This window comes from Homo sapiens, chromosome 9, assembly GCF_000001405.40.
Source record: "Homo sapiens chromosome 9, GRCh38.p14 Primary Assembly".
Classification (NCBI taxonomy): domain Eukaryota; kingdom Metazoa; phylum Chordata; class Mammalia; order Primates; family Hominidae; genus Homo; species Homo sapiens.
In genome coordinates, this window is record NC_000009.12 from 37788743 (window position 1) to 37804505 (window position 15763).

Sequence of the window (15763 nt, forward strand, 5' to 3'; positions counted from 1 at the left end):
AGGAATTGAGCTGGGGAGGCGGCTGAGTCCTGGTCCCTGCCCTTGGGGGAGTTCACTCTCTCCACATGAAGATAGCAAGTGTTAAGGTGGATGCAACAACCTGAATAGAGTGTCAGCCCTGAGGGTACAGAGGATGAAATAGTTGTCTCTACATGGAAGGAAGGCAGGGGTTAGGATAGGTGTTACAAAGGAAGTAATAATTTGAGTGAATCTTTAATATTTTTTACTTTACTAGTTTCTAAAATTATAAATGAACTACATGCTAATTTACATACTGAAATTAACCATAAAAGCCCATGAAAGTATTGTTAACATCTTTATTCAAATACAGGATTTAATCTAAAAACATAAATGCCCACAGTTATCACTGCACAAATGACAGACTACTTGCTACAGATATTTTTACACAAGGATCATAACTTCTCAAACAGGATTTATTGTAAAAAGTAAAAGAACACTTTTTTTTTTTTTTTGAGACGGAGTCTTGGTCTGTTGCCCACGCTGGAGTGCAGTGACTTGATCTTGGCTCACTGCAACCTCCGCCTCCCAGGTTCAAGCGATTCTCCTGCCTCAGCCCCGCAAGTAGTTGGGACTACAGGCACACATCACCACTCCCGGCTAATTTTTGTATTTTTAGTAGAGACGGGGTTTCGCCACATTGGCCAGGCTGGTCTCGAACTCCTGACCTCAGGTAATCCGCCCATCTCGGCCTCCCAAAGTACTGGGATTACAGGCGTGAGCCGCCACACCTGGCCCAGAACACGCTTTTTTCTTACCAACTACTGTTTTAAATGTATTAGCAATTCCATAAAATATAGTTTCCTCACCATCATTTCCCAAATCTGAACTACATTCTGTTGGCTAGATTCTTATGTGGAATAACATTCAAGTTTGGTCTTAGTGTATCACAATACAGGATTGATTTTAAATACTCAAAATTACATGGTTTTCTGGTTTCCAACAGCTTTGCCATTTATCTGCATTTCTTGAATAAGGAAACATCTTTCTAGTTCATGTTTATTTTCATTTTGTAGTGTGTGTGTGTGCCTGTGTCATGGCACCCTTTGTTAGAGAAGAGCCCCAACCTCCTAGAGAATAGCAAGAAATAACAAGACTCCAACGGAGACGACTAAGCAAGAAAGCAGGTTCACCAGCCACAACTCCATTGGTACCAATGTAGATGAGATTTGGTGGATCAGATGAAGAAATTTATTATTCAACACAGCATACAGTAGGAGTACCAGCAAGGTAGCACTGGTTGGCCTGTCCTCAAGTCCTATGGAGTAAATGCAATGGGCCCGGACAGTGGTTGCACATGCAGTGGTTTGCACCATGACTGAGGGATCCAGGGCTAAGGGCCTAGCATCTTTTGTAGCAAGTGGCAAACCAACCAGCCTCCTTCCCTGAGGGAGTGAGCTGTTGTATGGTAGTTATGCTGTGGTCATCTTAACCTAGTTAAATGCCGATGTGACTAGCTAGAAATGGTTCAGTATTAGGGGAAAGTTAGGCCTTGTGTTTGGCATACTTCGCAAGCACATGCAGAGATGCTCAAGGCCACAGCAAACTGCCTGTCCCAATAGAAGTCAAGGCCTGTCATCATCTGACTCTACCTTATCTCTGCAGTGTCATCTCATGCAATTTTTTTTAGTGATCTAAGTTTTTTATCATTCTGGACTATTCACCAAGGCCACTTTAGCTGTTGTATTCTTCTAGCTACTGATTCTCTCCTCTTATCTCCTGCCACACAGCAAGATTCCTGAACACAGACAATAACTGCTCAATAAATGTAAGGATGAAAGGGCCTGAAATTGTGACAACTACATAAGAAAACTGTGTGTCATGATGCTATTAAGGGACTGTATTCATTGAATTCCTTCTATATACAAGGTCCAGGCATAGATGGATCCATGGAAAAGCTTAAGATATCTTCATCAGTCAAGGTCTAATCAGAAGACAAACCATGCTCATTTGAATAAAGACAGTTTAATATATGAGGAATTATTAGCTATAACAGGGTATTAGAATAATGAAGCACTGGCTAATAAGAACTAGAGAGCTTTAAAGAGTATAGCAATAGCAGATATAAGGAACAGCTGCTACTCTAATGCTGTGATAGAGTTCCCAAAGAGGAGCCTCTCGCCTCCAGCCAGGGCAGATTGAGACCCTTTTGAAGAGAGTGTGGCTGTGGCTCATTAAATGGCAAGAAGTCACTGGGAATCTTCCAGTGGAACTTCCTATAAATCCACCCTCTAGAATTTTCTGGCACTTTTACGTTGCTGAGGAAACGTATTCATGGGGAGGGGTCTCCTGGAAGCCTCTGCTATAAAACTGCCCAATAGGGTGCTAAGGAACACTGCTGGCTGCTGAGTGTTTCTGGCCACCAATCAAAGCAGGAACAGATGCTGGAGAAGCTGCTGTGCTGCAGAAGTGTGCCAGTGAGCACAACTGGACCAGGAAGCAAAACCCATTCCTCCTGAAACGCCTCTTCAGGGCCTTCTACCTATAAAGCATATCATCACGAAAGAGAACAAAGGAAAAAAAATTTAAGGCTCAGATCCATTTTCTCAGAGCAGTCAGTGAAGGATGAATTTGGACCTGAGAGACAATACATTGATAACTGGCACAAGGTCTCATGAGGTGGTGTATTAGTCCATTTTCATGCTGTTGATAAAGACATACCCAAGACTGGGAAGAAAAAGAGGTTTAATGGACTTACAGTTCCACATGGCAGGGGAGGCCTCACAATCATGGCGGAAGGCAAGGAGGAGCAAGTCATGGATGGTAGCAGGCAAATAGAGAGCTTGTGCAGGGAAACTCCCATTTTTAAAACCATCCAATCTTGTGAGACTTATTCACTATTCTGAGAACAGCACAGGAAAGATCTACCCCATAATTCAATCACCTCCCACCAGGTTCCTCCCATGACACATGGGAATTGTGGGAGTTACAATTCAAGATGAGATTTGTGTGGGGACACAGCCAAACCATATCAGGTGGTAATATCAAACTCATCAGTAATAGCAATAAGGTAGAGTCTGCCCATTCCCAGATGGCTTCACTGGTGAACTATACCAAACATTTAAATAAGAATCAATACCAGTTATCACAAACTCTTACAAAAAACAGAAGAGGAGGGAACACATCCCAATTCATTTGATGAGGCTAGTATTACCCTGATATCAAAACTAAAGACATCACAGGAAAAGGAAACTATCCTTTTCCTTTATGAATCAATATCCTTTATGAATACAGACACAGAAATCTTCAACAAAACACTAGCAAACTGAATCCAGCAACATATAGAAAGGACTGTATACTGTGACCAAGTGGAATTAATCCCAAGTATGCAAGGTCTTTTAACATCTGAAATCAATTAATGTATTATGCCATCTCAATAGATGCAGAAAAAGCGTTCGAGAATGTCTAACACCCTGTCGTGATTTAAAAACAAAAACAAAACCAAACCTCAATAAATAAGATTAGAAAAGAACCTCCTCCATTTGATAAAAGGCATCTATGAAAAACCCACAGATAACACTTAATAGTGAAAGACTGAAAGCTTTGCACTTAAGATCGGGAATAAGACAAGGAAGTCTGCTCTTGCCATTTCCATTCAACATTATACTGGGGGTTCTGTCCAGGGTAATTTGGTAAGTAAAAGCAATAAAAGATATCTAGATAGGAAAGGAAAAATTAAAACCATCTATATTTGCACGTGATGTGATCTGGTATATAGAAAATCCTAAGGCACCCACCCACCCACACAAACACACACACACACACAAAACCATTAGAACTAACACTAACAAGTTCAGCAAGTTTATAGGATATACAAAAATTAATTATATTTCTGTACCCTTGAAATGAACAACCCAAAAATAAAACTTCAAAAATAATTCCACTATATAGCATCAAAGAAAAGAAAATATTTGGGAATTAATTCAACAAAAGAAATGTCAAACTTTTTTTTTTTTTTTTTAATTTGTAGAGATGGGAGTCTCACTATGTTGCTCAGCCTGATTTTGAACTTCTGGGCTCAAGCAATCCTCACATTCAGCCTCCCAAAGTGTTGGGATTGCAGGCATGAGCCATTGTGCCCGGTCAGAAATGTCAAACTTAAACTCTGAAAACTACAAAATATTATTAAAGGAAATTAACAAAGATCTAAATAATTGAAAAGGCACCCCATCCCATTTTCATGGTTCAGATGATTTAATATTATTAATAGGAGGTCATGGGAGGATGACTGCTTGAGCCCAGGAGTTCCTGACCACCCTAGGCAACAAAGTGAGACCATATCTCCACAAATAACAATAATTTAAAAAAAAATTGCTAAGATAACACTATTCCCAAAATTGAAATACAGATTCAATCCAATTTTTCTCAAAATCCCAACTGCCTTCATTGCAAAAAATGACAAATTGCTCCTAAAGTTTGTATGGAAATTCAAGAGACTCAGAATAGCCAAAATAATCTTGAAGAAGAACAAAGTTCTTCTTTTGTGAGAACAAAATAACTTATATTTCTGATTGCAAAACTTACTACAAGGCTACAGTAATCAAGACAATGTTGTATAGGTATAAGGATAGATATAGATTAATGGAATAGAATTAAGATACAGAAATAAAACTTCATCTTCAGCTAAAAGTTGAGAGATGGGAAAAAATATTTTTTTAAAACCCTTTATGCTTACAATCAGCTGATTTTTTACACAGGTGCCAAGACAATTCAATGGGGAAAGAATAATGTTTTCAATACATGGTGTAAGCACAACTGGATATACACATGCAAAAGAATGAAGTTGGATCCCTATCTTAAACTATATAAAAACATTAAATGATTGAAAGGCCTAAATCTCAGAACTAAAATTATAAAACTCTTAGAAGAAAATGCAGAGGCAAATCTTTGTGACCTTGGATTTGACAGTGGTTTCTTAGATATTATACCACCAGAAGCACATTCAGGAAAAAATTGAAAAATCTGACTTTATCAAAATTAGAACAGATAACTCACTGAATAGGAGAAAATATTTAAAAATTATATGTCTGATAAGGGACATGTATCTAGAATATATAAAGAACTTTACTACTCAATAATAAAAAGATAGATGACCCAATTTAAAGGTGGGCCAAGGATCCAAACAGACATTTATTCAAAGAAGATATATGAACAACCAAGAAGCATATGAAAAGATACTCAGTATCATTAGTCATCTGGGAAATTCAAATTAAATCACAATGAGATATCACTTCACCTCCACTAGGATGGCTACAATCAAAAAGACATTATAACCAGTGTTGTGGATATAGAAATTTCAGAACACTCATCTTGCTGGTAGAATTATAAAATGGTACAGCCACTTTGAAAACTGAAAAACAGTTTTGCAGCTTCTTAAAAAGTTAAACATAAAGTTACCATATAACATAGCTATTCCAGCCAGGGGTGTGGTGGCTTATGCCTGTAATCCCAGCACTGTAGAAGCCTGGGCAGGATGATCACTTGAGCCCAAGAGTTTGAGATCAGCCTGAGTAACAGAGACCCCATCTCTGAAAAGAGAAGGGACGGGAGGGGAAGGGAGGGGAAGAGAGGGGAATGGAAGGGGGGGAGGGAGGAGGAAAGAGAGGGGAGGGGAGGGAAGGGAAGGGAGAAAGAAAGAAAGGCAGGCAGACAATTCTACTTCTAGGATATACCCAAGAAAATTGAAAGCTTATGTTTACACAAAAACTTAGACATGAATGTTCATAGCATAATGATTAATAATAGCCAAAAGTATAAGTAATGCAAATGTCCAGCAACTGATAAGTGAATAAACAAAGCATGGTATATCATACAATAGAATATTATTTAAACCTAAAAGGGACTAAATGTGCTACAATGTAAAATTAATCTAGAAAATATTACGCTAAGTAAAAGGCCACATATTGTATTATTCCATTTACATGAAATGCCTTCAAACCATGGAGATAGAAAGTTGATATTTAGTTGCCAGAGGCTGGAGAGACGGGTCAGTGAGAGTCATTGTTTCACGGGTACAGAGTTTCAGTCTGGGAAGATGAAAAAGTTCTGGATATGGATGGTGGTGATGGATGCACAACAATGTGAATGTACCTAATATCACTGAACTGTATATCTAAAAATGATTAAAATGGTCAATTTTATGTTTATATATATTTTACCACAATAAAGAATTATTTTCACAGAAAAAGGAGAGAGAGAGAGAGATGAATTGAATGTGGCAAAATCCTAATAATGGAATCTAGATGATGGGCATATAGTTATTTTTTTAAATACTCTTCTCTCTAATTTTGTTTGAAAATTTTTCATAACTAAAAACATAATATGGAGACAGGCAAAATAGGTGTCTTCTTGATGACAATTCAGCCTGATGGGGCAAATATATGGAAAAACTTGTTGCAAAACAAATAACAAACACAGCTTTGACCATGCCTTTCTCCTGCCTGAAAGCCCTCTGAGAGCATCGTATCACCTACAGGGAAAAAAGACTCTCTGTGACCCTCTCCTCTGCTCACCTTGCCACCTCATCCTGCTTCTCCCTGACTTCCATTTCTTGAGCAACACCAAATCCCTTGTAAATTTCCCAAACATGCCCTGATCTGTGCCATTCTTCATGCCATGTATGCACCCTGCTTAACAATCCAGTCTCCCTCCCTCTGCTTAACCTCTCCTTAAAAACTGGCTTGATCACCAGCTCCTCCAGGGAGTATCTTCTGACCCTCTGCTGAACTGTCCCTCATCTGTGTTTCCATAGCTCACTGTCCATAATTTGTCATAGCATCAAACACACCAGATTCAGACTACCAAATTTGTGCAAATGCACATACACACTCAGATCCCAAGAACCTAGAAACCGGTATATCAAAGGCATAGTGTGAATTCTGTGAAGGAGTTTCTGTACCAGGGAAAGCTCCACTAACTTTTAAACTTGCTAGGTATTTCTCCAGCTTTATGAACATTTAATGTCAGATATCCCTGCAGAGACCACTTAAAAGTTTACTTTTGCTCTAGGCTGAAAACAGTATACCTGAGGAAAAACAGTAACATGACTTACACCTTAGAAAATATCCACTTTTAGTTTTCGCCTAAATAGTGCAGGTAATTTTGAGTCTACAAGGCTTCTGAAAAAGAGCAGGGGATGCCAGGTGCTTGGGAGTGGGGGTTGAAGGGTGGAAATGGGACTTCATGCCTAAGTATACGAATTTCAGTTTGAGAAGATGAAAAAATTCCTACCCATTGCACCCTCCAGTTCCCATCCGAAAAGACAACCACCTTCATCTACAGCTCTTTTCTCTGCTATTTTACCTCAATGTTTAAATATAATACACTGATATTGCTTGATTTCTTAATTTTAAGAGAATGTGTTGACTTCCTGACAAGGTAGATGTGGTTTTGGCTCTTCCTATTTCCACACTCTTCATCCCTCCCTCTCCACGCTTTGCTAACACACGGCATAGTTACAGCACAATTTCTGGTTAAATCAGAAGCCATTTTTTACAATATTACCAGTGCAAATATTGTTATCTGCCTTGACAGATTGTACATTTTATGCAATCCTTTATTTTTCATGGAGTTGGTGATTGCCTCGTTTCAGTCCATTGTTTGTTATTCTATATACTTTGTTAATTTCTTCCACTATTCTGGCATTGGAGTCTTTTGCCTCGCCTTAATAGATTGCAACATTCCATTTCCATTTTTCCTCTGGAGACTTCCCACTCTGTGCTCCTCCCACTTTGGGGGGGCTGCTCTTCAGGCCTGCTGCACAGCTGTCTTTTCTTTAATTGTGGTAAAATATGCATAACAAAATTTATCATCTTAACAATTTTTACATGTACATTCAGTACATACACAGTGTTAAGTGTATTCATACTGTTGTGCAGCCATCACCACCATCCATCTCCAGAACTCTTCTCATCTTGCAAAACTGAAATTCTGTACCCATGAAACAATACCTCCCCATCCCCACCTCACCCTAGTGCCTGGCATCCACCATTCTTCTTTCTGTCTCTGTGAATTTGACGACTCTAGGTACTGCATAGAAGTGGAAACATACAGTATATATATCCTTTCGTGACTGGCTGATTTCACTTGGCATAATATTCTCAAGGTTCATACACGTTGTAGCATGTGTCATATTTCCCTCCCTTTTTGTACACCTGTCTTTTATACCTTCCTGCACTGCTCTCCTTCTTAGATCCACTTAGATCACTTTTATTCCACTTTCTTGCTTTACCTGTCCATTTTGCTAGAGGTCCATAACCTCCGGTATCTTCTTAAATAAAGAGAATATGAGGCTGGGCACAGTGGCTCACGCCTGTAAAACAGAGTGACTCTGTCTTTTCTCAAAGATCTACTGATGGCCACACAAGGCATCTCCTTGCTGTGTTAGGTATATCATCCTATGTCCTATTTCTTGTGGCATCATTGAGCCCACAGCAGGCCTCATTTTGAACTTCCACATGTGGCATTTTTTGAAAAATCTGTAGCTGTGGCAATACTGAGCTTGCATTTCCTCGTAGTTGCCAAGTTATGGCTGCCCCCAGTAAAGGGAAATTTAGAGACAATGCTTGCAAAGCTCCTACCAATAAGCCTGGTGAAGCACTTACTCAACAAATGGAAGTTGTTCTTTTTCATGGGATTACAGTTATTCAAAGGTTCAGAATTTAAAAGTGTTCAGAAGAAAAGGGGAGCCAGACCTGATATTTGTAGATTGGCTTAGATTTGGAGGTTTTTAAAAAATACTATTGAGTTGCCATCCTTGGCAAGGAGCTTGTATGTACAGCGATAGCTATAGATCCAAGCCAATCTACAAATGTGTGTGTAGCACCTGGTTACGAGCATGGAACCTGGAGCTAGATTGCCTGGATTTGAATCCTGGCTTTACCACTCTCAGGCTGACTTTTCTTTTTTGTGTCTGTGTTTTCTCATCTCTAAAATGGGGATAATAATCGTACCAACATACCTTGAGTTTTGAGTTAATATATATGAACCAGCTTAGCATAATATTAGGCACATACTAAACATTATATGAATGTTTGCTTATTATTTTTCAATAAGCTTATATGATAGGATCACTTAACTCAGCATAATATTAGGCATATACTAAACATTATATGAACATTTGCTTTTTATTTTTCAATAAGCTTATATGATAGGATCACTTTACTCAGCATAATATTAGGCATACACTAAACATTATATGAATGTTTGCTTTTTATTTTTCAATAAGCTTATATGATAGGATCACTTTACTCCTTGAGTACATTGTTTTCTTTGGGCTACAGAAGGCTCCCTGGTTGAAAGGACACATTTGTTTTCTTGGTTGTCATTCCAATTCTTTTTTTTTTTTTTTTTTTTTTTTTTTTTTTTTGAGACGGAGTCTCGCTCTGTCGCCCAGGCCGGACTGCGGACTGCAGTGGCGCAATCTCGGCTCACTGCAAGCTCCGCTTCCCGGGTTCACGCCATTCTCCTGCCTCAGCCTCCAGAGTAGCTGGGACTACAGGCGCCCGCCACCGCGCCCGGCTAATTTTTTGTATTTTTAGTAGAGACGGGGTTTCACCTTGTTAGCCAGGATGGTCTCGATCTCCTGACCTCATGATCCACCCGCCTCGGCCTCCCAAAGTGCCAATTCTTTTTTTTAATTTTTGAGATGGGGTCTCACTCTGTTGCTCAGGCTGAAGTGCAACAGGCTGAAGTGCAGGGTGATCACAGCTCACTGTAACCTTGAACTCCTGGGCTCAAGGGATCCTCCTGGCTCAGCCTTCCGAGCAGCTAGGACTACAAGCATGCATCACCACACCGGAATGATTTTGTTATTTTTCATAGAGAGACAGAGTTTCATGATGTTGCCCAGGCTGGTCTCAAACTCCTTACCCTCAAAAGATCTTCCTGCTGCTTGAGCTTGGGAGGTTGAGGCTGCAGTGAGCCATGACTGTATTACTGTACTCCATCCTGGTCAACAGAGTGAGACCCTGAAAAAAAAAAAAAAGATCCTCCTACCTTGGCCTCCCAAAGCACTGAGATTACAGGTGTGAGCCACTGTGTCTGGCCCTTGATTCTTTTTGTCAGTGCATAAGTCCTGGTTCAGGTATTGTGAAATCAAGTGATCATCCCACAGGAAACTGAAACTGAAATTGAGCAGCCATCATTCTGGTACCTCAAGGGACTCTGCAGGAAGACCCTAGGGGGACTCTGCCAAGAACAAGTCTAACCTGTTCTGAGTCTGTCTCTTTTTATGTATCTGTATCTCCTCCTACCATCAACTTTCTTTCTCACCGTCTATCCCAAGTCTGTTCTCTCATGGCTGCTGCTTTCTCATGATTTCTCTTACTCCTTTGGTTTGCTCAGGACTCCAGCGGCCTCACTCTGCCTTATGACTTTTCAATCCCAACCATCATGGCCAACTGCCTCACTTCTGATTTCCCAATTCAAATTCCCAAGAGCATGAGTCTGTATGGGCAAAGACTTTTGGTCTGGCAGCCTCATGGACCAGTGGCTAATCTATAGCCTGGTTACTCAAATAGTTGTCCTACCCCGGCTAGTAGGCAAGGAAAGCTAAGTAACAGCTACAAAATTCGACAGCCTAGGACTTCTAGGATGGGTTCAGTAGAATATACGTGCTGGCATACACATGAAGAGTGTGAATGCCAGGCAAGTAGGCTGCTACAGTAGATTGGACCCATCCAGGGGGTCTCCAGAGAAGTAGAACCAATAGGAGATATAGATATAAGAGAACATTTAATATGGGAATTGGTTCATATCATTGTAGAGGAGTCCCATGATCTGCAGTCTGCAAGCTGGAGAACCAGGAAATCTGGTGGTGTAATTCAGTCTGAGTCTGAAGGTGTGAGAATCAGAGGAGCTAATGGTATAACTCCCGGTCCAAGACTGAAGGCCTGAAAACTGACGATGAGTCCCCAAGTCCAAAGCCCGCAGAACCGAGTTTTGATGTCTAAGGGCAGGAGATGGATGTACCAACTTAAGAGAAAGTTAAATCACCCTTCTGCCTTTTTGTTCCTTTTCAGTCTTTAATGAATAGGATGATGCCTGTCCACAATGGTGAGGGCAGATCTTCTATTGATTCAAATGCTAATCTGTCCTGGAAACACCCTCACAGGCACACACAGAAATAATGGTTTTCCAGGCTATCTGGGCATCTGTTAGCCCAGTCAAGTTGACCCAGAAAAGTAACTATCACCTATTTGCCATCTTTCATTTAAGCCCAGATACACAGACTGGCTATCTCAGCCATTCCTTGGGTAGCACATCCAAACCTGTTTCCTCTCAGTCTCTCCTTTGCCTTGTGACAAATAGGTTTTGGAAGAAGCTGCCTGTGGTCACCCTGAACTTGTTGTGCCTTTAAGAGTTGGGCATGCTGGCCAGGCGCGGTGGCTCATGCCTGTAATCCCAGCACTTCGGGAGGCCGAGGCGGGTGGATCACGAGGTTCAAGACCAGCCAGGCCAAGATGGTGAAACCCTATCTCTACTAAAAAATACAAAAAATTAGCCGGGCGTGGTGGTGGGCGCCTGTAATCCCAGCTGCTCGGGAGGCTGGGGCAGAGAATTGCTTGAACCCGGGAGACGGAGGTTGCAGTGAGCCGAGATCGCGCCACTGCACTCCAGCCTGGGCGACAGCGCGAGACTCCATCTCGGAAAAAAAAAAAAAAAAAAAGAGTGGCATGTCACCTATTGTGTGTGGCCTGCACGTAATGCACTAATTCTTAATCCCTCGCTGATCCCAGTGTAAAGTGGAGACACCAGTACATACTCAGCCTCACAGGACTGACTGGTCAGGCCACTCATCCCCAGGCACGCGGCCACCGGTCACTGACAACTACAGACCGACTCTGCCACCCAGATCAGGTGCCCAGATGCTCAGTCGCTCACACAGGTAACTACTCGCTCCCTACCTCCGTTCCCGGGACTGCGGCGCCCCAAACCCGGCGGTGTCTCAGCTTTCCCGGTCCCCGGCGGACGGTGGCCGAGGGGCGGCGCGGGTTTCCAGCCGGTGGGGTTAGGCCGCTGCACGCCGGAAGTGGCAGCTGAACAGGGGCACTGAGGTGTCGGCCGGCGGGGCAGTGGCCCGGAGCGGGGGGCGGGGGCGTTGATCATGTTTCCCTTTGGGCCCCATAGCCCTGGAGGGGACGGATCGGCCGGAGCCGGGGCTGAGGAGCCGACGCCCCACGAGGGGCAGGCAGCAGCCACCGGGCCGCCCTCGCCACTACATCCCGGGGCTGATGCGACCCATCCCCCTCCACCCGCCCGAAGCCCTCGCCGCCCCGGCGCCCCATCGCTGTCCCCGGCCCCGCGCTCCGGAGAGCTAGGGCTGCCTGGAGCTCCGGAGTCCTCAACTGCCTCCGCCCCGGGAGAGCCGTCACCTCCCTCCCCTCCGTGCCGGCGGCCCGGGCCAGACTGCAGGGCCAAGAGCCGGGGCCGACACGGCCTCGGCGCGGGCCTGGGCGGCCCTGGCGCTAGGCTGTTCGGGTGGCTGAAAGAGCGCAGCCTGGGCCGCGGGCTGTTCGTGGACCCGGCGCGGGACAATTTTCGCACCATGACTAGCCTCTACGGTTCCATCCACCCCGCGGACTCGGTGTACCTCAGCACCCGCACCCACGGCGCCGTCTTCAACCTCGAGTACTCGCCCGACGGGTAAGCGCGGCCCCTCGGAGGGCGGGCGCCCGCCTCCGCCCGGCTCTGCTGCCAGCGGACGGCCGTCCTGGGCTCGCTCCCCGCGCCCGGGCCGAGGTTAGCGAGGCCGTTTGGGGCCGCTGGCCTTCGTGCCTCCTGGCACTTTCTGAAGCGCATTCTCGCCCTTGGAATCCCCAGCCCAGCTTTTTGAGGCAGGCAGGCGGGGCCCCACTTGCTCGCCTTCAGGACTTGGGCTCTGTGAAGGAGAAATGCCCGAAGCTACACAGCGGACCTGTCAGAGCCAGCCCACAACTAGGGCTTTCTGGTACACAGTAGGTGCTCAGTAAATACATTTTGAATAAATGCCCGCTTTCTCCCCATCATCCTAGGCTCGCGTTTTCCTACCTAAACCTGTGTCGGGGTAGGAAAGCTGTAGATTCCTTGCACTCTGTACCTGAACTTGCCATGATGGGGCAAGTGCGTTCCTTTGCTCAAGGAAGATACAGTACTAAGACACTGTAGAGACGTGGCTCTCATGATTTGGGTCATTTGTGAAGTCCCCAGGCTAGACTACAGCCTTTTTCTTGGCTGATTAAATATTTATTGTATGGCTTTGCTTTAAAGGGAACTTTCCAAAATCGTATCTATTTAAAACTTTGTCTTGTCAGTACACAAGTCCGCCATCAAAAGAAAAAATGTGCACAGTTCCACCATGAGGTGACATAGTTAATGTAATTCTTACCCCACCAAGCCTCTCGGTTGCTAGTTGTTTACTCAGTTGTTCATTCATTCATTCTCTCATTCGGCGTATATTTGTTGAGCACTTGCTATGTTCCAAATGCAGGAGTAACCATGCTGAGCAAAACCAGCTAATGGCACTGTTTTCATTGAGCCTGGGACTTAATGGTTCAACTAGATAGTAGATAGCCTTACTAAATAATGCATAAAATATATTTGTTAATTGAGATAAAGTCTTGAAGGAATCTGTTATGGACACTGTGTTCACGGATTCCCTGAGGAAGTGGCACCTAAATGAAAATAAAAATGAGTACGAAATAAATTAGTCAAGATAGGGTTGGGAAAGGGATAGAAGTATTTCAGATGGAGATGATTGGTATGTCAAAGGTCGTAGAAGGGCAGCATATCATGTTACAGGAGGTGAAAAAAAATAGGTTTACAAAGCAAAAAATTTTACTGAAGAAAGACCTGAAGTTGCTAAGGAAGGAGCAAAGGAATAGAAACAGGAGTTACTGTGAGCAAGTAGACTCTATTCCATTTCAATGATGGAAGCGCTTCCTAATCACACGTGGTGCTGGGGTCTCTGGGGTCTCAACAGCAATTGGTTGGAGCATGTAGCAGTGGATGCACACCTGAATAAGGTGGAAAACTGGTGAGAGGAGAAACTATTTTGCTGAAACTTATTCATGGAACCTCGCAGCCTCCTTCCTTCAGCCAAGCCCTATTCCTAAAGTTTCCCTCAAAACACGAACAGTCTGTCCTCAAATATTCAGTTTCTCTCTTCATATCCCGGCCCCTCTCCTCCCAACCTCCTACCGATACTTTCAGGAATTCAGAAGCAGCTATTTCTACTTTTTGGATGTGGGATTTTAGGTGGGAGTATAATGAGAAGAACAGATTTTAGAGCTGTTAGAATAAGGGATATATTGCTTAGTTTTTGTTTGAATCTAGAATGTATTTTCTCATAACAGTTTTGTAAAAGGTGGTTAGGAACTCTTGCACTTAATTCCATAATTTTAAATTACACAATTAACATATATGCTCATTGTGTAAAACCTAGGCAATAAATGAGCAAAAAATACCTAAACATTGCTTATGATCCCAGAGATTAAATGGATATCTAAGGAAATTTTTAATTTGTGTATGTTTATTTTAATATAAACATGGAATCACTGTTTTGTAGCTTGCTTTTTTTCTTACAGTAAATTGTGAACTGCTTATGTTAATAAATATATTTCTACAACATTAACATTTTTCATTAGTTTAAATAAAACCTCTTTGAACAAATATTTTATATTTATATCTTTAGGATAAATCCCTAGAATGAGTTATTGTTATGAAGATTTTTATATCTATTGTTAAATTGCCCTCTGCAAAGATCATACTAATTCTCATTACTATATTCTGATTCCTACATTCTAGACACATGCCTGTCTCCTCATACCCTTGGCAACACTGCATACTGCCATTCTTTTTCATGTTTATCAGGGTGATGAGTGAAAATACTTCAGTGTTTTAATTTTTCAGTCTTCTTACTTCATCTAGTATGCCCTACATTTGTGTAGGACTTAAAGTAATTTTACAGATAGATGACATATCCGTGTTAAATGAGGTAATTTCTCATATCTTTCAGTTAAATATGAGTTAAATCAGCTTACCAGGTAGCATAACCACTGTCACCCTCAAGGACTTCTCAATACAGAGAAGGAGGGGGTGACACAGAATGTAAAAATTAAAATTATGAATTTAATAGAGACCACAATATAAGGAATTTGGCAATAAAAAAGATAAATGGGTTAGAAGGTATTTTCTAAAGAATTCAAAAAATGTTTTAAGTGATAGAAACATTGTCAAAATAAGTGTATCACCTTCTAAAATGACATTTTGAAAAAGTAAAATTGATAATGTTAATAAATTATAGTATGTCAGACCCTGTCAAACTGTCCTCCATGAGAACACATTAGGCACAGCTATAGAGATAATTCACATATTGGAAAATAGAAGCAAAGAAACTAACTAGAATACAGACCTGGAAAACACAGAGATTGAAAATATGAAAAGGAGATTTAGTAACACAGAGCATAGAGAGAAAAAGCATACCATATAGTTAGCCAGAGTTCCTAAAGAAAATAGTCCCAGTTTCTTCAGGAACTCTGGCTAACTATATGGTACGCTTATACCATATAAGCATATCATATGGTGTAAGGGGGACTATTTGAAGACATAATAGCTGAGAACTTTCCAGAATTGAAGAAAGGCACCAAGCCATGATTTAAGAAGCCCAACAAACCCAAGCAAGAATTCTTTCTAGACATATTGTAGTGAAACTGTGGGACAATAAATATAAAATCTTAAAAGACAGAGGAAAAAGGGGCCGGGTACG

General features: G+C 42.1%; 1 protein-coding gene and 1 long non-coding RNA gene across 9 annotated transcripts in view, besides 5 other annotated features; one reads left to right on the forward strand and one right to left on the reverse strand.

The window, feature by feature from the left end:
* Window positions 304-12149, reverse strand: LOC105376037 (uncharacterized). The gene is made up of 3 exons (XR_929599.3): window positions 11925-12149; window positions 9889-9986; window positions 304-2500 (listed from the first exon to the last, which is right to left on the reverse strand). It is a non-coding gene; the product is annotated as an uncharacterized LOC105376037 (long non-coding RNA).
* Window positions 11584-12185: an enhancer, noted in NCBI's record as "H3K27ac-H3K4me1 hESC enhancer chr9:37800323-37800924 (GRCh37/hg19 assembly coordinates)". NCBI's record gives its function as "activates a minimal SCP1, AML or CMV promoter by ChIP-STARR-seq in naive H9 embryonic stem cells {active_cell/tissue: H9 hESC(naive)}" and the evidence as "EXISTENCE:reporter gene assay evidence [ECO:0000049][PMID:30033119]".
* Window positions 11584-12546: a biological region, named in NCBI's record as "H3K27ac-H3K4me1 hESC enhancer GRCh37_chr9:37800323-37800924".
* DCAF10 (DDB1 and CUL4 associated factor 10) overlaps window positions 11812-15763 on the forward strand; it is a 67111-nt gene continuing 63159 nt past the window's right edge. For 5 of the 8 annotated variants that reach the window (NM_024345.5, XM_005251577.5, XM_005251578.5 and 2 more), the window contains exon 1: window positions 12055-12663. In NM_024345.5, coding sequence (NP_077321.3) covers window positions 12125-12663 — 539 coding nt within the window. In that variant the 5' untranslated portion in view covers window positions 12055-12124. Of the gene's footprint in view, window positions 11906-12054; window positions 12664-15763 lie in introns of those variants that run through there. The other 3 variants (NM_001286810.2, XM_047423865.1, XM_047423866.1) reach the window with 1 other exon arrangement.
* Window positions 12027-12546: a silencer, noted in NCBI's record as "silent region_19912". NCBI's record gives its function as "represses an Ori minimal core promoter by ATAC-STARR-seq in GM12878 lymphoblastoid cells {active_cell/tissue: GM12878}" and the evidence as "EXISTENCE:reporter gene assay evidence [ECO:0000049][PMID:35858748]".
* Window positions 12767-12826: a silencer, noted in NCBI's record as "silent region_19913". NCBI's record gives its function as "represses an Ori minimal core promoter by ATAC-STARR-seq in GM12878 lymphoblastoid cells {active_cell/tissue: GM12878}" and the evidence as "EXISTENCE:reporter gene assay evidence [ECO:0000049][PMID:35858748]".
* Window positions 13137-13186: an enhancer, noted in NCBI's record as "active region_28404". NCBI's record gives its function as "activates an Ori minimal core promoter by ATAC-STARR-seq in GM12878 lymphoblastoid cells {active_cell/tissue: GM12878}" and the evidence as "EXISTENCE:reporter gene assay evidence [ECO:0000049][PMID:35858748]".